Raw genomic sequence first — 22,264 nt, 5'->3', positions numbered from 1 at the left:
AGATTTAGCCTCACCAGGCTGTTTCTAAGACTTTTTGAAGGAGAATGGAAAGAAAGTAAATGCGACACAAAATATTCAAGAGTAGGTGGGGAACATTTAGAGAGCAGCAGTTTAGAACTTGCTTAAGAATGTAAGGATAATAAATTTTAAGAAAAGAAAACCAGGCATTTTAACAAATATTGCAAGTACTTATGTGCCACTTTCCTCGTGTGGAAGAGATAGAAGTAAAGACTTGAGATACTGGGATTATCCATTATCACATGGACTTTGCTTTCTTAACTATTAATATAATGCTGTTATAGGACTGAAACCACATTGATCATGATTTTGTAAGTATTATAATTACAAATCACCACATTGCAATATTTTTTCTTGATTTGCAAAGATTTTCTATTATATGACTTCTATTTCACATAATATTACATTTGTTGACAGTGGCCTTTTCATAATAAAAAAAGTCTAGAATTATATTGGGTGAAAATGTATGATGTACCCCAAAAATATATACAACTACACCCAAAATATATACAACTACTATGTACCCACAAAAATCTAAAATTTAAATTTAAAAATTTAAATGAAAATGCATGACTTCCTCATTTTCACATTGTGATTATCCACAGACAATCCTAAGAATCAATGTAAAGTCATATAAACATCCACAACATGATATTGGTTAACATTGGCCTTCAGAATTTCCAGAAAACGAATAGACTCCTCTCACAGCAGGCTGACACTGGTGCATTCTATAAGAGGGGCATGAGGAATAGAGCCCCTGGACTCCTTCTGACATTAATGGGCATCCCACAGCCAGATCTTTGTGTCCTGCCTTGAGAATTTACCCAGCTGTAAAATTACATTCTACATAGTTTCATGTGGGAAGATGACGCATGTCACTCCTGGAAACCATTACATGTTCCCTATAAATTATTTGGCTAAGCAGCTATTGCCCTGGGTAGTCAGTTTTAGCCTTAAAATTCTTTTACCTTTACCTCAACTGCCTGAGAATGGCAAAGAAAGGTATTTTCACTGTTGCACAATCAATAATAGGAAGTCCAAGAAAACACTGAATTACTGTTGCCTCAAGATTTTTTTTTTTTTTTGTAGTAGGAGACTTGCCATATTATTTTACCTGATACAAAGTCAATCATTAGCAAATACTTTGACCGCCTCTAACTGAACAGATTACCGGGCCAGATATGTTAAATGCTCTTTATGACAACATAAATATTTTACATAGCTAATTCCTCTCTATTTGGCTTTTCACTTAGGTTTAGGATGATACAGATCAATCGTATGGTTTTCACAGAATCAATTTTCAATTAATGCAGTATAGCTTCAATTAAAATACATGGTAACAGTAAAACAATGTGTTCAGACAGTTTGTGCAGCTGTGAATTCCTTCCTTATTATAATGAAGTATACTGAAATCTCAGGTTTATCTTTACTTTCTTAAAATTTTCATTCTACAGTCATTGTGACAGGACAGCTGTGTTCTTACCACCAAACTACTGCCAGTAACTAGTTGTGTGACTCAGTTAACTTTTTAAATGTGTATTTCTCTGCAACTACAAAATAAATATAGTACTAAATTACTTCACAAGTTTCCTGGAAGAATTTAAAAAGATAATATATAAGAAAGTACCTAACACAAGATCTAGTAGACGGTAAGTGTAGTAGACATTGATTAAATTTTAATTCAGCATATATTCAGTATGTATAGAGAAAATCTACCAGTCAAATTCATCTTATTCCTTCTCCAATTCCACTACCTTTCACCTTCACAATTAGCATTTGTAAGTCTTCTACTATTCTCTCAACGCTTTCTTTTGTTCCTTTGGTTGTATATTCATTACAATTTTGACATACATAAGACGACATTTCTTTTCTCTTTTTTTATACTTTAAGTTCTAGGGTACATGTACACAACATGCAGGTTTGTTACATGTGTATACATGTGCCATGTTGATGAGCTGCACCCATTAACTTGTCATTTACATTAGGTATATCTCCTAATGCTATACCTCCTCCTTCCCCCAACCCCACGACTGGCCCCAGTGTGTGATGTTCCCCACCCTGTGTCCAAGTGTTCTCATTGTTCAGTTCCCACCTATGAGTGAGAACATGCGGTGTTTGGTTTTCTGTCCTTGCGATAGTTTGCTCAGAATGATGGTTTCCAGCTTCATCCATGTCCCTACAAAGGACATGAACTCATCCTTTTTTATGGCTGCATAGTATTCCGTGGTATATATGTGCCACATTTTCTTAATCCAGTCTGTCATTGATAGATATTTGGGTTGGTTCCAAGTCTTTGCTATTGTGAACAGTGCTGCAATAAACATACATGTGCATGTGCCTTTATAGCAGCATGATTTATAATCCTTTGGGTATATACCCAGTAATGGGATGGCTGGGTCAAATGGTATTTCTAGTCCTAGATCCTTGAGGAATCTCCACACTGACTTCCACAATGGTTGAACTAGTTTACAGTCCCACCAACAGTGTAAAAGTGTTCCTATTTCTCCACATCCTCTCCAGCACCTGTGGTTTCCTGACTTTTTAATGATCGCATTCTAACTGGTGTGAGATGGTATCTCATTGTGGTTTTGATTTGCATTTCTCTGATGGCCAGTGATGATGAGCATTTTTTCATGTGTCTTTTGGCGGCATAAATGTCTTCTTTGGAGAAGTGTTTGTTCATATCCTTCATCCACTTTTTGATGGGGTTGTTTGATTTTTTTCTTGTAAATTTGTTTAAGTTCTTTGTAGATTCTGGATATGAGCTCTTTGTCAGATGGGTAGATTGCAAAAATTTTCTCCCATTCTGTAGGTTGCCTGTTCACTCTGATGGTAGTTTCTTTTGCTGTGCAGAAGCTCTTTAGTTTAATTAGATCCCATTTGTCTATTTTGGCTTTTGTTGCCATTGCTTTTGGTATTTTAGTCATGAAGTCCTTGCCCATGCCTATGTCCTGAATGGTATTGCCTAGGTTTTCTTCTAGGGTTTTTATGGTTTTAGGTCTAACATTTAGGTCTTTAATCCATCTTGAATTAATTTTTGTATAAGGTGTAAGGAAGGGGTCCAGTTTCAGCTTTCTACATATGGCTAGCCAGTTTTTCCAGCACCATTTATTAAATAGGGAATCCTTTCCCCATTTCTTGTTTTTGTCAGGTTTGTCAAAGATCAGATGGTTGCAGATGTGTGGTATTATTTCTGAGGGCTCTGTTCTGTTTCATTGGTCTATATCTCTGTTTTGGTACCAGTAGCATGCTGTTTTGGTTACTGTAGCCTTGTAGTATAGTTTGAAGTCAGGTAGTGTGATGCCTCCAGCTTTGTTCTTTTGACTTAGGATTATCCTGGCAATGTGGGCTCTTTTTTGGTTCCATATGAACTTTAAAGTAGTTTTTTCCAATTCTGTGAAGAAAGTCATTGGTAGCTTGATGGGGATGGCATTGAATCTATAAATTACCTTGGGCAGTATGGCCATTTTCATGATATTGATTCCTCCTATCCATGAGCATGGAATGTTCTTCCATTTGTTTGTGTCCTCTTTTATTTCGTCGAGCAGTGGTTTGAGTTCTCCTTGAAGAGGTCCTTTACATCCCTTATTTCTTATGGAAAACATTATACTTAAAAGCTAAGATTTGACATCTTTTCAGCTTTTAGAAGAATTGTGAAATTCATTTAACTGTCTCTGTGTCCACAATGAATAAACTTAAAGTAAACAGTGGTGAGATGCCAGAAAAGTAGCCTCTCAGGAAAAAGGCAGAGACGTATCACTCTCCAAAGCAAGACCCTCAGGTATGATTTGTAGTGGAGCTAAGTTTATTTTGGCTTCATTGGCAGAAGCACTGGTTTCTGATGTTATTTGTTCAACCTAAATATAAATGGCAAAATCTGATTCTGTTTCATATGGTACCTAAAATTCTGAAATAGGGATGGGAAGTCAGAGTATGATTATCTGCAAAGGATACTTATTAAGCAAACATCACAAGATACTTTCAAGGCCTAATAGAATAGTAGTCTTTAGCACATAGAAGTTGCTCGGTAAATATATGTTGAATAATGAATGAAGCAAGAGCCAATTGTTACATTTTATCTTTTTTATCTCATAGCACTCAGTGAAATATAAGTATAGAAGAGGTGCTCAACAAATGCTTGCTGAATTCAAGGTAAATTTGGTTGAGCAGACCATATTCCTTGAGTTATTCTCTTTGAGCCCTTAGGCTGCTCCCTTGGGTCAATTCCATTGAACTACTATTAAGATCTTGAATTCAAAATTTGGCTGGAGGATGTGGGAAAGGCATATTAATTCATAAATATCAATTTTCTCACTTGAAACTGAAGTCCAATTCTAAGGCAATTTTTTATGCTAATTTTCTTTCCTTGACAAACATTTAATAAAACCCTTCAACTTACTCCCCATTTGTGATATTTTGAAATATATAGTTGGTCTATCACTCTATTTCCTGGCATATAACTCCTAAAATCCTTAGAACCTCCATGGCAATGTCTTTGTGTATGATCATGATTGACTGACAGCTGGCAGCCCCTAGGTGGCATCGGGATGGGGGCTTGTCACCTGAATGACCAAGGCAGGATTAGAGGCTTGGGACTCAGCCCCATGACCCAACATCTAGGGAGGGTAGAGGGACTAAAGTTACATTTATCACCAGTAACCAATTATTTCACCAATCATGCCTCGTAATGAAGCCTCCATAAAAATTCAAGAGGGTTTGGAGAGCCTCTGGATAGCTGAACATGTGGAGGCTACTGGAAGGTGAACAATAATTTATCCACGTGTCAGGAGAGTGGCATATCCCAGCTCCTTGGGCACAGAAGCTCCTGTGCTAGGAATACTTCCAAATGTGGCCCTATGTATCTCTTCACCTGGCTGTTTATTTATATCCTTTAAAATAATCTTGGTAATAAATGGGTAGACCTAAGTAAGGGTTTCCCTGAGTTCTACGAGCCTATGTAGCAAATTAATCGAACTCGAAAGAGGGGATTATGAGAATCCCAACTTGTAGCCATTTGGTAAGAAGTTCTGGAGGCCCAGACTTGCGATGCATAGGAAGGAGGGGCCAGTCTTGTGGAACTGGCCCTCTACCTGTGGTTTCTGATGCTAGATCTTCAGGTAGATAGCCTCAGAGTTTAATTGAATTGGAGGATACCAGCTGGTGTCCACTGCAGAACTGATTGCTTGCTTGGTGTGTGGGGAGGAACCCCCACACATTTGGCCACAGACATCTTCTGTGTTGATTGTTGTTGAGTGAGAGAATAGAAAAAGCCCTTTGAGTCTGTGTGTAAGTTGTCTTTTCCACTTACACCACTGCGAACACACACACAATTAGAGGAGCCCCAAGGGTTTTGTCAAAATAAGTTCTTGGAAATATGTTGAGTCAAACTCAACATGTTCAGCTTGAATTCAAAACTCTCAGAAGTTCAATTTCTCCTTAGTCCAGGCTTACCCTGATAATGCACTATAAATTACTAGTTAGATTTCTCCCTCCTCCCCAATATACAATAGTCATTCACACCTTTTGTTGTTTCTTTTACTTACGTCTTGATATAGTCTCCTTTCTTTATTCCAGAATCTTTCATTCTAGAACTTTAAGGCTGATCAATGTAAACTCTGATGGCAACTTCCTTTACATGGTAGGCATTTGTGTTCATCCTTTCAAGCTCCTCCGAGCTCATATTACTTCAGAATATTTTGTCTGGTGTACATGCTATTCTGCAAAGCCTAACTTCCCATTGATTGAAAGTTCTCTGAAGGCAGAGAACATATCACTTTCTTGGTTTTTTCATAAATCTCATAGCACCTATTATGGGACCTAACTCTCTGAGAAGTCAATGGATTCCTGCGAATTTAAATAGGATGGAATAGAATTGAGTGGCAAGATTATTTAAGAACAGAAAGAAAAAGAAAGCTTGTAATAAACAGCTATGCTAAAATTATACATAATAACTAACAAGGCTAAATTTAAGGGAAAATGTTCCAATTGTAAAGATGGTTGTATCTCAATACCGTATATTTAACTAACTGATTTTTTTTATTGTCATTTTTGCCCCACCATAATGTAAGCTCCACAGGGCAGACATTATTGCCATTTTTTCTTCACTGTTGTGTCCCTCGTGCTAAGAATAATGCCTTTCACATAGTAGGTGCTCAATCTATATTTGTTAGATGAATGAATAAATAAACGAATTTAGGAAAGTGACTTTTTAAAAAGGTAATGCTTCATCTTGTATTCCCTTTGTCATCAGGATAAAGTTATTCAAAGCACATTTCACTCACATCCCTTAGCTTTTCTGCCTCACAAGAACTCTCTGGATGCAAAAGACCTATAAGAAAAGCCTATCTCAGTTGGGCCGGGTGAGTGGCTCACACCTGTAATGCCAGCACTTTGGGAGGCTGAGGTGGGTGGATCACGAGGTCAGGAGTTCAAGACCAGCCTCACCAATATAGTGAAACCCCATCTCTACTAAAAATACAAAAATTAGCCGGGCGTGGTGGCACATGCCTGTAATCTCAGCTACCCAGGAGGCTGAGGCAGGAGAATCTCTTGAACGCGGGAAGTGGAAGTTGCAGTGAGCTGAGATCACACCACTGCACTCCAGCCTGGGTGAGAGAGCAAGACTCCATCTCAAAAAAAAAAAAAAAAAAAAAAAAGCCTAGCAAACAGAAAAGGACATAAGTTTTCACTGAACAGATTTTGGGAGGAAAAATGACAGAAAGTAGTTACGAGGTTGGTTTTCATATTTCTCAATTTCTTATTTCTCAATCAAAAGATATTTCAAAAATCTTTTTAATTTCATTTTTCTTACACAGCTTAATTCAAAGTAGCTTAGCAAGGCAAAGTTAGGAACACTGGATATGCCCTGCAATGCCATTTCTAGTCACACTTAAGACTAGTGCCACTCTAACAGGAACTCAGTGGAGAAAATCATCACTCTTTTAGCGGCAAGTAAAACCATACACAAAAGATTGAAGAGAAAATACAGTAGCTTACCTCTTTGGGTAACAAAGCTAGTTAATGATCAGCTTATTCAGAGAATATAAAGCAATGTTCAGACTCCTAGGGACCCATTCCCTGTATTAGTCAGGGTTCTGCAGAGAAACAGACCCAACAGAAAGTATGCATAGACAGAAGAAGTTTATTATAAGGGATTAGTTTGTGAGGTTATGGATACTGACAAGTCTCAAGAACTGCAGTCAGTAAACTAGAGACCCTGGATGGTGATGGTATAAATCCATTCAGAGTCCACAGGCTTACGCACCAGGAGAGCTGTTGGTGTGGCTCTAGTCCAAAGGCTGACAGGCTCAAGACCTAAGAAGTGCTGTGTTTCAGGTTGAGTCCAAAGGCAGAAAAAAACAATGTCCTAGTTTGAAGGTGGTCACAAAAGAATTCAGTCTTCCTCCGGAGAGGCTCAGCTTTTTTGTTCTATTCAAGCCTTCAACTGATTGGATGAGGCCCACCCACATTAGGGAGGGTAATCTGCTGTACTCAGTCTACTCACCTGAGTTTATCTCATCGAAACACACCCTCACATAAACATTCAGAATCATGTTTGACCAAATATATAGCCATCCCATGGCACAGTCAAGCTGACACATAAAAGTAACCATCACAGGCCAGGTGCTGTGCCTCAGACCTGTAATCCCAAAACTAAGGGAGGCCAAGGTGGGCGGATCACCTGAGGTCAGGAGTTCAAGACCAGCCTGGCCAACATAGCAGAACCCCGTCTCTACAAAAATACAAAAATTAGCCGGGCGTGGTGGCGGGTGCCTGTAATCCCAGCTACTCGGGAGACTGAGGCAGGAGAATTGCTTGAACCTGGGAGGCAGAGCTTGCAGTGAGCTGAGATTGCGCCTTTGCACTCCAGCCTGGGCGACAAGAGCAAGACTTCGTCTCAAACAAAAAAAAAAAAGAAAAAAAAAAAGAAGCATCACACCCATCATTATCTACCAGTTTTGGAAAATATGGCAGATGATAGCTGGACATTTAATCACCACCTCAGTTATTTTCCTTTTGCCCTCTGGGTCCTATCAACAGCAACAAATATAATATTCAAAAATGAAGCATTAGGCCATTTACAAATTTTTTGTTAGAGCATCAAGCATGCTTGCTTGCTGGCTTACTTTTTCTGTATGGCAAGTAACACTCCTTGCAGAGTGGGGTGGAACAGAAAAACTAGATCAGATTCATATTCAGGGGTGATCTTAAATTTGTAGTCACTGAAAAATTATAGCTATCAATTGTATACTTTTTATTTTTACAAAGTGCATTGAATCATAGGCACATATGTATTATTTAAAGAATCTGGAGAAAAATATTTGTGGTTATTTTGAAGGATATCACCTAAAAATGAAAAGAAAGCAAAAAAAGTTAATATAGTTTATGTGTCAAGATATTTGTGATAGAAATTTTATTTTTATTTTAAGAGGTAGTAGGTTTTCATTTTCCAGCTTACAACCTGACATGGATAGTTGAGGAGTCATCAAATTTCATTGTCCTAAAAATAGGCTATGGTTTGGGAGGTCATGCTTTGTACTTACCTGTATTTATGATAATACATGATTTTATTTTTTTCAATGAGATAAATTGTTTTTTAAAAAAATAATAAATCTTAATCTATTGATCACCTACCATGTGCCAGGCTTTCCTGTCACCTTTCATATTTTGAATGTAAATATTTCCTTCTTTTATTGGTTACTTTATAACCTCTCAGTTATCATGTTCCACCATTTTAACACTTAAAGAGGTAGAATGTGGGATTATCATTTCCCAGGCTCTTGCATGGAGAAGGAACACTGAGGTCATCTCATTCAATCTCCCATCTAATACTTAAAACAACTCTACAACATCACTAAAATGAATCCTGGGAAACATACCTGCTGATGAAAATTCATACCCATGGCAGTCCACTATATAATTGAATAGGTTTGTGATTAAAAAGTTCTTTCCTATCTGGCTGGAAAATACAATCTCTTTTTTTTTTTTTTTTTTTGGTTTTGTCATTTTTGCTTTGTTTTGGCTTATATTTCTTATCTTTCCCTTTCTCATTCAAGGAAATATTTGTATCAATTTGTGAAAGGGATATGGCAAAATAGAACTTAGAAATCATTGTGGCTTTGTTTTTCAAAAGTCTAAGGCTTCAGAGGAATTTAAGTTAAGGTATTGAAGAATACAAGGGAAAAAAGATTTTCCCCATAGTAAGAAAATATTTCCCAGACCCTGGGGGAGAAGAAGAAAGAGAGAGCAACAACTTCATGGCTTCCAAGAGTAGAGGGGACCTCTACTCCACTTCCTACTAAGACTGAATGTGAGACAGCCAAATGCCAAGCAGAGATATTTGAGTGGTTCATCAGGGAGTTAAGCCCAGGATTAGCTTCACCCACAGTTTCCTTACCCCATGGAGTGTAGCCCAGCCGAAAGGGCACATGTATACAATGATTGTGTCATCATTTACCTGTGGGATTGATGACTGAAAACTGCAGCCCCTCATCCTCGATACAAAGGCAATGCCCAAGATTCCAGAATTGAATGATAACTTGAGGAGGAGGCAGCATCCTTAGTTGGGCTGCATTCTTTTTTCATAAACTCAATAGAGCAGAGGCTAAAAGGCAGAAATTATGTTATTACAGGTGATTAAGAAAGTACTGGAGATAGACAGTAGAACAATGGTTACCAGAAGGATAGTGCAGGGGGTGGAGATGGTTAATGGGTACAAAAATGTAGTTAGATAGAATGAATAAGATCTAGTATTTGATAGCACAATGGGGTGACTACAGTCAACAATAATTTATTGTATCTTTTAAAATAACTAAAAGAATATAATTGGATTGTTTGTAACACAATGAAAGGATAAATGCTTGAGGTGATAGGTACCTGATTTACCCTGATGTGATTAATATGCATTGTGTGCCTGGATCAAAATATCTCATGCACCCTATAAATATATATACCTACTATGTTCCCACATAAATTAAAAATTAACAAAAAAAAAAAAGAAAGTACTTTTTTTGGTCCACCTGAGTTGTGGATTGATTCATAGTCTTTTTGGTTATATTGTGCTTCCTCCTGTGACATGGTTTTCTTCATTGAAGAAGTACCGTCAACATCCTTAAACTTTGGCAACCAGACTGATGATTATTACCAGGGTGTGATTTATGAGTAGAGTATCCTACCATCTCTCCTCTTCTGGTCATTATGCTTCCTTTCATGTAGCAAGAGATAGCATTTTTTGGCAGCCACACACACTGATAGCCCAAGCTACAAACAACTAAAACCCCAAAGTGATTTAGCTAGATTTTTTAAATATAAAATTAGAATTTTACTTTTCCCATTATTGATCCAAGATAAATAATAATAGAAAATATATATTAAATTACGCATATATATACACATACTTATGTATGCTTATATGTACGTGAAATGAATGACAACAATGATAAAAGAAATAAGAAGGAATATTCAGTTTCTACATAGAAATCATGTTGTCTGTGAACAAACACAGTTTTAAATCTTCCTTCCCAATCAATTTATTTTTATACTACATTTTTGTCTTATATTAGTTATAATTCCCAGTATGATGTAGAAAATGAATGATGAGAGGGGACATCTTTTTGGGGTTAATATTAAGTACTAGTAAATTCATTTATTTTTCTTTTTCTATCTCTTTTCCCTTGGGAACACATGTGCAAAAGTTTTGATGTTTATATTCTTCATTAAACCCTACAATGCCATTCTTTTGGTTTAGTTTATTGTATTAATGTTCATTTATCTAGGGATTCCCATTCACACTCTTTCCTACAGGCACCCACTCAAATTTATTTGATATAAATTCTTGGATAGGTATATATCTTCGATAAATACATATAGTTGTATTTGTGAGGTGTTTTAATGTCCCTGTATTTTCTATGTATGGTATTATGTAACCTTATAAATTCAAATATATTATATTAGACTCTCTGATTTGAGACGTTTCTGATTTGATGTGAAATATATTTGCTCTCACTCTGCTTTATGGTATCTGAAAATCTGCCAAAAGCCATCATGGTGTACCATAAGATCTTCTCAGTAAGTGTTATCAATCCATTAATTCTCATCCTTTAAGTCTAAGCATTCCATTTGTACAAATCCACCTAAATGTACCATCATCTAGTCCAAGTTATATATGATGCCATTGGATTCTGAGCATTTGCGAGACCCTTAGTTCTGTCTATGTGAGGAAGTTAGAACATACAAGGAATGAACTAGTTTGTAGAAAACAGTTGCAAAGTTGAAAATGGAGATTCTAGGATATAGGAGTCTTGCTTTAGGAACAAATCCTGCTCGGATTCCCAAAAGGCTTCTTCATATATCACACAAACAAGTAAACCCATTTATATAACTATCTGAAACATCTTTCCTAAGACACAGCATAAATGACACAGGATCTACAGAGCATTACAGGCATGGAGAAACTAAAGAAACATCCCCGTATCTTCCTGCCTGACCAAGAAACTCTACCTGCTAAGGTAACCTTCTAGAGATAATACTAGTTTAATTGGTAGATTTCTCTTATCATTCTAGAATTCTACACGTTTGAACAATTCCATTCCTTTGCCTTTTCTTGCACTATAATTGGCCACAAGACAAATGTTTGAACTGAAAGTTTTCTTGATTAGTCTTACCACATTCCTACCACAAATACACGCTCATATGCACACTAATACACACCAACACTAACAGGGCATCAGCAGCTAGAGCTTCATGCTACTATGCAGCAAAAATCTCTAGCATTATCTTATGGATTGCCCAGGTATTTACACGTCCAATCAAAGGTGAAGTTCATAGTCAATCCTATGAGAGAGAAGAGCAATGCTCTCAGTGGCATTTTGGAACTTCCACAACCTCATGAAAAGCTGTGAGCACAGCTTACTGTATGTTACTGTCAGGAGGTAAAGGGACTCTCTGCTGTCTCACATCGTCTACACCCTGATTTTGATGAGGAAATGTTGCCTAGAAAAGTAATATTATATCAATGGAAGACAGTGAATACAAAGATGTTTATATGGCAGATGGCTAAATATTTGTTGATTTTAACTGAGGCAGAGAAAGTCTACACTGGAAGTAACAACAAAGTACATTTTCCTAAAAGTTTACACATTCCCCAAAATATCACAAAGGGATTCTTTGGTATACCTCATCTCAAAATTACCAAAGTGATTAAATATAATCAGATCTTGAATCCAGGAATTTCACACTTTTCCTTTATTCTGCCACCAGTTTTTACATGTGAGGCTTGATTGTTGGCCCCTACCCGGCTTAGGTCTTCCAACTTTACCTGTAAGCCCCAGGGTCTTGCCTGTGGCCACTGCCCAACTGAGGCTCTGCTCCTGCCTAGAGCCTCTTGGCTTCAAGCCTAAACTCTGACCTGTTCTTGCCCTGCAGGTGTTTTGGCATTCCTGGTCTGACTTTGGAAGGAGTCCAGGCTTTCTCTGATCTCTGGGACACTTTACCTAGGCCACGTTCTTTGTTTTCAGCTACTGTAATCTTTTTCAGAATTCCATGAAACAGTTTCATTTTTGTTCCTTTCCTTTATAATTTGTAGGAATTAAAAAGTCATTCATGCATTTGTTTACTCAATCAAGCAAATATTTATTGAGCGAAGTCAAGGCCGCAGCACTGTTACTCACATGTACAGAATATGCTTTAACGGAACATATGGATTTTTTCCAAATTAGCTTTTTATGAACAAAAAATTGAGCTTATGTTACTTTAACATTTTTTATTGCACAGTTCGAAGTAAAAAGTAAAAACCTTTCAACAGCTACTCCCATCCCTTTGCCACAATCCTATTCCTCAGTAATATAATAGAAATTAGTGGTTACTCTGCAGCAAAAACTGTAAGAAACATATATATAGACCTTACTTTTCAAGAGACACATAGACAGAATTTATTTCTGTGCATTTCTTCACAAAAGAAAGTCTAGTAGTTGTGGAGTCACATATCTCACATGAGGACAAAGAATAAGTCGTATTATTTCACTTTTAATCAAAACTATCTCATTTCTTCCCACCTCACTCCAAATCCAATCCATAGTGCCAAAACCACCCTTTCCAGTATACGGTGATGAAATCAGGAGAAGGTTGAATGAAAGAGGTTCATTATGCAGAACTTGTCAGCCATACTAAGAAGAAGTAAAAGACGATTGGTCCAAGTTTACTTCATAGACGCTTTTAAATTTTGTTTTACCCTCAGAGTGTTATTAGATAGAAGAAATATCAACCAAAGAAAGCTGCAAAGACTTGAAGGGATTATATGGAATTTATATATGTGACAACAGTAGTCACCCTCTCCTCATGCATGGAACAGAATATATCAGATCTATGTACTAATATCTTTTAAAAAGTTTTTTCAGCTTTATCGATGTATGATTGATAAATAAAAATATTGTATCTATATTAAGGTATAATGTAGTGTTTTGACACAAGTTTGCATTGTGAAATGATTCCCACCATCAAGATAATTAACGTATCCATCACCTCTCATAGCAAATTTCACATATACAATATATTATTATTAACTATAGTCACCATGTTTTACATTAGATCTCTAGAACTTATTCATCTCATAACTGAATGTTTGTACCCTTTGACCAACAGCTCCCTATTTCCCCCACCCTTCAGCCCCTGGCCACCACCATTTTACTCTCTGTTTTTCTAGGTCTGACTTTTTTTTTAATATTCCACAATAAGTGGTATCATGTGATATTTGTCTTTCTGTGCTTAGCATGTTTCACTTAGCTTAATATCTTCTAATTTCATCCATGTAGTCCCAAGTGGGAGAATTTCCTTCTTTTCTAAGACTTAATAATATTTCATTGTTTATACATTTTATGTATGTATATACACACACACATACACACACGTGCATATATATAGTCAAAATTTCTATATTCATTCATCTGTTGATGAACACTTAAGTTGTTTCATTTATTGACTTCACTATTGTGAATAATGCTGCAATGAACATACTGATTTCATTTCCTTTGGATGTATCCCCATAAGTGGGATTGCTGGATCATATGGTAGTTCTATTTTTAGTTTTTTGCCAGCATCTTTTATTTTAGAATAACACTGAGTTTTGCTCAAGTGGCTTATTTGGAAAAAGTTCACTTGCCAATACAGAGATGACTCAGATTAAATTTGTCTTTGCCTTTTCACACTAGCAAGCTTGGAATATTCCATTTAAGAAAATTTCCTAAGACCTTTCATTAAACTCAGTGTGGCATTCTTTATGAGTAAGATGTCTTGGAATTTACATTCATTTAGCAAATACCTGCTGGCTACTAACCATGTGCCAGGCACTGTTCCAAGTGCTGCGGAGACCTTAGTACAAAAGAGATAAAATTTTCAGCTCTTCATGGAGCTTATGTTTTACTAGGGGGAGGTAGAAAAATAAGCAAATAAATATACAGGATACTGAGTGTATTGAGTGCAAATGAAGGGAGAGGAAGCAACTAAGATCCATGGCACGTGAGGGGCGAGAGTTTGCAATTTTAAGTAATGCAGTGAGGAAAGGCCTTATATCAGTGATCACATTTAAGTAAATACCTGAAAGAGATGAGAAAGTAAGCCCTACCAGTGTAGGAAAGAATGCTCTAAGCAAAGAAAATAGGCGATTCGAAGGGCACTGCTTGGAATGTGTCTGCCTTGTTCAAGAAACATCAAGAAGGCCAATGTGGCAATGGTTGCAAGGGAGCAGGTAAGGCAGGGATTTCTAGAACCTTGTATGCACATTGGATTCGCCTCTGAGGGAGATGGGATGCTTTGGTTGGCTTTTGAGTAAGAGTGACATAACCTAAGCAGTTTTAAAGAGATCACTCTGATCCCACTGATAAACCAAGATTTGGGAGTTGGAGATCCCAAAAGGTCGTTAGATTCCTAAGGGCCTTTTTGATGCTATGATTCCACATTCCATACTTTGAAGTGATATCCCAAGCACCTACCCAGTTCAACGTGAAATGACTGTTGAACAGTATTTTCAGCAGTCTGAGGTGCTAAAATCACAGTATTCTAAAAGGCAAGTCTAACATTAAGTATTAGAAAGTCTGAGATTGCCTAACTTTGACAGTGAGAAAGAGGAGATTAATTAACAAAAAATTAAGTATTATAGCATAAGTATTTGTATATTCACACCATATGTCTTCATGATTCAGAACGCAAGAAATCATTTGGAAATGAATATGGTGTGTTATGGTAGCCAATACTTGGAGAAAGGAAAGATGGGCAAATTTGGCTCTGAAAATGTTAGGAGGGATGACTTGAGTAAGTTTCTTAACCTATCTGAGTCTCATTTCCAAAACTGAGAAAATAATATCCACACGTTAGCATGTGAAGATTAAATAAGACATTGAATGGGAAAGACCCAATATGGAGTAAATTCTCAATACATGTTGGTTTCTTCCTTCTTTAGACTTGACAGAGATGTCAAATTTTGACATGAATATTTGACTAGGGTTGGAAGAGCAAGGCTATGGGAGTCTTTTCTATGTATACTTACTACAGACCAGATATTTTGATATGTCATTGAATAAAGAAGCATGTACACTGGAAAAAAAAAAAAGGTAAGATTGCATCTGCCCCTGGCCAAGTTGTATGAATGAGAAACAAAAATAAATGGTATTCTTTAGTAAATACAATCCCAACCGTAAATAATAAATGATAGTCTACAAGTAATGAAGAATTTGTCAAAATTAAAATTTAAAAATTTACTTACATTTTTGAGGACATGGATATTCAGGCACTTATAAAGAATTTTAGAATCAATCCCAGAATCCCTAAATTAAATCCAAGGGTTTAAATTATCATAAAAAGAACATATCAAGCCAAGTGTGGTGGCTCATGCCTATAATCCCAGCACTTTGGGAGGCCAAAGCAGGAGGATTGCTTGAGCACAGGAATTTGAGACCAACCTGGGCAACATGGTGAGGCCCTATCTCTACCAAAAAAAAAAAAAATTGTTTTAATTAGCTAGTCATGGTGGCATGTCTGTAGTCCTAGCTACTGAAGAGGCTGAGGCAGGAGGACCACTTGAGGCTGGTAAGTCAAGGCTGCAGTGAGCTGTGATTGAGCCGCTGCACTCTAGCCTAGGCAACATGTGAGACCCCATTTCTACCTTAAAAAAAAAAAAATAAATAAAATAAAATATCAGAGGATTTCAAAGATTACCACCCTTTGAAACTTTTTTTTTTTTGAGACAGAGTACTTACTCTGTCACCCAGGCTGGAGTGCAGTGGCATGATCACACCTCACTGCAACCTCTGCCTCCTGGGTTCAAGCAATCCTCCCACCTCAGCCTCCCAAGTAGCTGGGACTATAGGCACACGCCACCACTCCCAGCTAACGTTTGTAATTTTTGTAAAGATGGGATTTTGCCATGTTGCCCAGGCTGGTCTTGAACTCCTGGGCTCAAGCGATCCACCCACCTCGGCCTCCAAAAGTGTTAGGAATATAAGCATGAGCCACTGCGACTGGCCCCACTTTGAAACTTTTTAAATAAAAGGCAAATTAATCTCTAAAGAATATATTTGAGAGCAACAATATATACATATTTGTGACCTCATCGTTCCATTTTCTTCTCTGTTGTATCTGTTTGTTTGTTATTAAAGTTTTCTACTAAAATAACTGGGTTCCTTACATGGAGAGGTGACATCTAGAGAAATCAGTTTAGTTTAAATTGAATTGGCTGCTGTATGAAGCCTTGTAACATCATTGTCAGATGTACCAATAAGTCATTATTTTCAGGAATGACACTTACAATATGGTGACACATCCTATCTCCTTTGTTACAAAAAGGGGATAGTACAGGTGGAAAAGATAAACAAAGTCACAGAGGCCTCATGGTCAACATTAAAGTGATTTGACAAACAAAGAATAGCAGAAAGAGAAACAGCATCTCCTATCTGTTTTCTAGGCCTCAAAAGATTCATAACTTGATATATTCTTAATTCAGCTAGGAACTTTTACAAATTGAAATGATGAAAAACACTGCATAAATATTAGAATTCTCTGGTGGAAAGGTATGAACAATGAACGTGTTGCTGAATGAATACAAAGTACATAACACTTTGCAAATAAGAAGGCTGTCAAAGAAGAGAGAAATTGACATATATCAGAGGACCTACTGGACCTAAAATATTAAATATGATGAGTGAATAAAGACTATTTTTCTTGTTGCTTAGTTCTTCTCGTAGGCAAGAACATTTCCTTCAAAAGAGCACACTAAATGCATTCTCCAGTTGACTCATTTTCACACTAGATGGCAAATGTGTGGGAGGCCACACACACAAAAAAAGATGCTTTTTGATTAGATTAGTGAGAGGGGGAAGTCTGATTCATCCATAAAATGATAGGAGCTATATTTGTTCTAATGATGCATCTAAGATTGCATTTCCAGTTGCTTGATTTTAGATGGTGCCTCTGGAGCATCTCTCTAGAAAGAAACTTTTTAAAAATTCTTTAGCTGAAATAATTCTTCTTTCTGACCTAAAACTTGAAATCTTAAAACTTCTGATGTGGACATTAATTGTGGACATTAATTGTGATGAAAAGGAGGAGTTATTGGAGGGGGCTCTGGGGAAGGGTCAGAAATGATATATTCCATGTCCAGAAAAATGGAGAGGGCTAGGAAAATATGGTGTGGGATTACACAATTTGGAACTGAAGGCTTTAGTCATGAACACTGAAGCATGGTAATCCAAGTGTAGTTGTCCAAGAGATCTGCTACTGCACATTATCTAGGCCTGACTCATTTTTCTTACTTGTACTTTCAAATATGTCGTTGGCCCAGTGTAACCTGTTGGTTTCCTATTAGATCATGGTGTTATTAAACTTTTTAGTCGAATATGCTGTTGAACTTCTCTTTCTTTTCCCTTTAAAAAACACCCAGGTAAATGGCTTTTGCTATAGTTTACTGAGAGTTTCCAACAGGGTTTGAAGTTAAGAACATTTGAAATTTATCATATGACAGATAAAATAATGACAAAAGTTACATCTCATTCCTAATACTAAAATTTTGTGCGATAAAAATGACAACTGGCACAAGCATAGAAATGCTGTTTAAGGGTGGAATAAATACCTTTTCTCTGCCCTATTGAGTACCCAGTGCTCAAAGTAAGTATTCAAATACTATACATCTTACCCCCAAAGATCATTGATATAGATTATATGAAAATAAATTCAATTCAAGTTTAACATTAATTACACTTTATTACAACTGCATAGATTTATCATAGTCCAGACTACAGTGGCTAGTATGGCTTTGGGCAGTTATTTGATATCTGACAATGGCAAGAAGTGTATAGTATGACAAGTTTTCTCATTTAAATGAGGAATATTAGACAGCTATAAAATCCTTCCATAAAATGAAATGTCTAATTTTACCCATGTGATACTTCTTATTTTGCTCTTAGTGGAGTAGTATGTACAGATTATGTCAAATGTCAACAAATATTAAAACAAAATGCAAAAAATTTAGATATTTTGAAACACCTAGATATTTTATTTTTCACTTTTCTTATGAATTTTGGCTGCAACATACTATGCTAATCTAAACATTTCTTAATAACTTTGTTTTAAATCTTTGGTTAAATCTGATAAACTTAAGAGCAAATCAGGTTCACTTTATGATGATCTAATTGGCCATTGACTTTGGGAAACTGGAAAAAGCCAATTTGATTCCTTTGTGATAGAGTTGGTGAAGAGAAAGACCCAGGAAGGAAGGGGCTGCAATAATAAACAAGTTGTTAAATCACTCTATATAGTGGAGTTCAAACAAGTAAACGAACAAATAAAATTTAGGAATGAATCCTCACTTCAATCATTGCAATTTTTTGAATTTTTTTTTTTTTTTGAGCCAGGGTCTTGCTTTGTTTCCCTGGCTAGTGTGCAGTGGTGCAATCATGGCTCACTGCAGCCTCGACCTGTCAGTCTCCAGCGATCCTCCCACCTCAGTCTCCCGAGTAGCTGAGACTACAGTCACACAGCACTATGCCTGACTAATTTTGTGTGTGTGTGTGTGTGTGTGTGTGTGTGTTTTTGTTTGTTTGTTTGTTTGTTTCATAGAGATGGGGTTTTGACATGTTGCCCATCCTGGTAAATTTCTAAATCTTACTGAGACTCAGTTCTCTCACCTGTAAATGGAGAAAATAATGCCCACTTCTCTTGACTGTTATGAGAATTAGCCAAGATAATTAAGCTGTAAGCATTTAGCATAAAGCCTAAAAACGGTAGGCATTTAATAAATGTTACTTTCTGTTTACCCTCTTTCATACTAAAGAAACAAAGTTCAATTTTGATCGAAGTCTAGTACCATGTTAAATATCAACTTTTCCTTAATGATTAAATCCCTGCTGATCTTTTACACCATGGTGTTTGTGTTAATTGAATAGCGATTCAAGATGTCTACACACTACAATTAGACATGACACTACAATCTAAGGAAGGCCCTCTCCTACTTAGGAATAGCTTGTGTTCCAAAAGCCAATTTGTTATTCCCTACTAAGAATTTAAAACACATATTCCCAAAGAATCAATGCTTTAGTAATCTATCATTTACTTGATGTATTATGTAAATAACACTGACGAGTTTAACAACTTACAATATTCTATGGCAAAATGCATTCAAAATTCCAAGTTGAGACTTTGATAATGTATGCCTCCCACAGGCAGTAAGAATAGAATTTCTCTTAGTTCCAAGATACTATGGGGTCTTCTGTAGGCTGGTGTACTGATCTTTTGGTGAAGACACTTCTTACCACCTCCTTTGCCATTATTCTGTCCTCAGTCACCACTAGTATAGCTTTCTGGCTGGGCACGGTGGCTCACGCCTGTAATCCCAGCACTTTGGGAGGCCGAGACGGGTGGATCACCTGTGGTCAGGAGTTCAAGTCCAGCCTGGCCAACATGGTGAAACCCTGTCTCTACTAAAAATACCAAAAATAAAATAAAATAAAATAAAATAAAATAAAATAAAATAAAATAAAATAAAATAAAATAAAATAAAATAAATAGCTGGACCTGGTGGCAGGTGCCTGTAATTCCAACTAGTCAGGAGGCTGAGGCAGGAGAATTGCTTGAACCCGGGAGGCAGAGTTCACAGTGAGCCAAGGTCATGCCATTGCACTCCAGCCTGGGCAACGAGAGGAAAACTCCATCTCAAAAACAACAACAACAACAAAATACATATATAATTTTCCTACCTTTAGGTTCATTTGCCCTTCCTCCCCAACACACACACACACACACACACACACACACACACACACCCCTCTTTTTCTTTTGCTTTAAGAACTATTGATTCTCCATTACTGTCATTCCTAACTGCTGCTTTCCCCCAACCACCATAAGACTCAATGCAAATTTATGACCCTATGTTCCCCACTGAATCTCTAAAGTAAACATATTACCCTTTTGATTTCTGCGGGGAGGAGAGGATAATCAGAGTTTGCAGCCAGGAAACTCATGGAACTAATGATCATTAAATATCTTATCCTATACATGTAGTTCTACACCAGGCTCTGAACTCATCGTATTTCTCATTCTTTTCTTTAGGCTTGGAGAAAATTAAAGACATCATTTATGCTTCGTAGAACAAACCAGAATTACGGGATCTGAGATTTGATAAATGAGATGGGAGGGAATAAGGAACACGATTGGATATCTAATGGAGATAGAAGAGCAGGACACTGGTGGAAAAAGTCTTAGAAACAAGTTGTTGAATAAATATGCAGGAATAAACAAATGAATGAGATTTCCTCAAGTAAACGAGTTTTAAAAACTATAAAGAGACGTATTTGGTTGGTGCAAAAGTAATAGCAACTTTTTCCATTACTTTTAAAGGCAAAAACCACAATTTTGTACCAACCTAATACAATTGCGTGTTGCTTTCTCTTCTCTCTGGTCCACCATGGCAAATGGGAAGGGCTGGGAATTCCTGGAGTATTTAGTCAGTGTCACACTAAGCAAACAGGTATTCTGATGCTTGAAGTATTCATAGACGTAGTAAGGTATGGTAAAAAGATCCTTACTTGCAAGTCATCTGAGTTTGAGATCACTTTTTCTCACTTCCTAGTCAGAGCCCTTGGGTAATTCTTTCGCTTTGTTCAGGTCTCTGTTTTACCATTTGTGAAGTGATGAACCTAGAATAACAAATCAAGAAATACCTAAATACATTTTTTAATTAAAAAAATAACTAAGATCCACAACTTAGATCATTAAAGATTTTGAACATGGGGTATTTTCTTTTAAGTGTCCCAGTAACATTGTCTACACAACGCAGAACACCCATGTGAATCCAAAATATTCAGTTAGCCATCTGTATGACTCCAGACATGGGGTGTGTGGCACACTGCCATCAGAGCATCTGTATGGCTGATATTTTCCTTTCCTAACTGAATGTTTAGATAGTGATATGGAATAACAAGGACCCAATTAGCTAGTACTGTTTCTCACTCCTTACCTTAGTCAAGAGCCCATCCCACACAAAGGAAATAATAAGAAAATTATTTTGCCCGCACATCCATTCAAACCAAGTCACCGAAGGCATTCACTTGAACAGAGTATATCCTTTACTGAAGAATAAGGAAGATGAACACACATTTCTTTTAGCATAAAAAACATTGACCAGGGTCAAGTAGCACATTGCTAGCTGAGTTGAGGCCCAGCATGGCTTATTAAGGCTGTTTGCTGAGAGAGCTTGTATTAAGTCACTGGGCTTACTTTAAAATTTTTTTTCCCTCTCTAACAAGTGCCAGACATGTGAGTCCATAATGAGTTTAATTAAAGTCAATGGCAGCCAATAATTCAAACCTTATAAATGTGAGAGCAAACAAGACTCTTAAGTCAAAACATGAAATATTCCATTTAAGTGGAAGTTTTAATCTTGTTTATAAAATAAAATTACCTCATATTAAGGGCTAATAGAGTTCAAAGATCTGATTTCCAGTGCTGGATCTACCTCTTTGCTATTTTGAGAAAGTAAAAAATTTTAATAAGAGAAGAACTTTTTTGTAGCATCCAACAATATGCTTGTATGTAATTGGTATTTAATACATATTTATTAAGCACATAAATGTGGTAAAATATACAGTTCTAAGAGAAGTAAGCAATAAGGACAATACAAAATGAAGATAACAAGCAGGTGCAAAGGAGAAAAGGCAGACGAAAAGAGATGGGGGAGAGATTTATTTCATTAACTCATGATCTTTGT

At 36.7% G+C, this 22,264-nt stretch overlaps 1 annotated feature.

Moving 5' to 3' along the window:
- Window positions 20,508–21,707: an enhancer, noted in NCBI's record as "MED14-independent group 3 enhancer chr2:164627636-164628835 (GRCh37/hg19 assembly coordinates)". NCBI's record gives its function as "activates an origin of replication core promoter dependent on BRD2, BRD4, P300/CBP and CDK7 cofactors, and independent of MED14, by STARR-seq in HCT116 cells {active_cell/tissue: HCT116}" and the evidence as "EXISTENCE:reporter gene assay evidence [ECO:0000049][PMID:35650434]".

The sequence above is a fragment of the Homo sapiens genome, chromosome 2 (assembly GCF_000001405.40).
Source record: "Homo sapiens chromosome 2, GRCh38.p14 Primary Assembly".
NCBI classification, from domain to species: Eukaryota; Metazoa; Chordata; class Mammalia; order Primates; family Hominidae; genus Homo; species Homo sapiens.
Note: the sequence above shows the minus strand (reverse complement) of the source record. Positions and strands in the feature narration are given on the sequence as shown.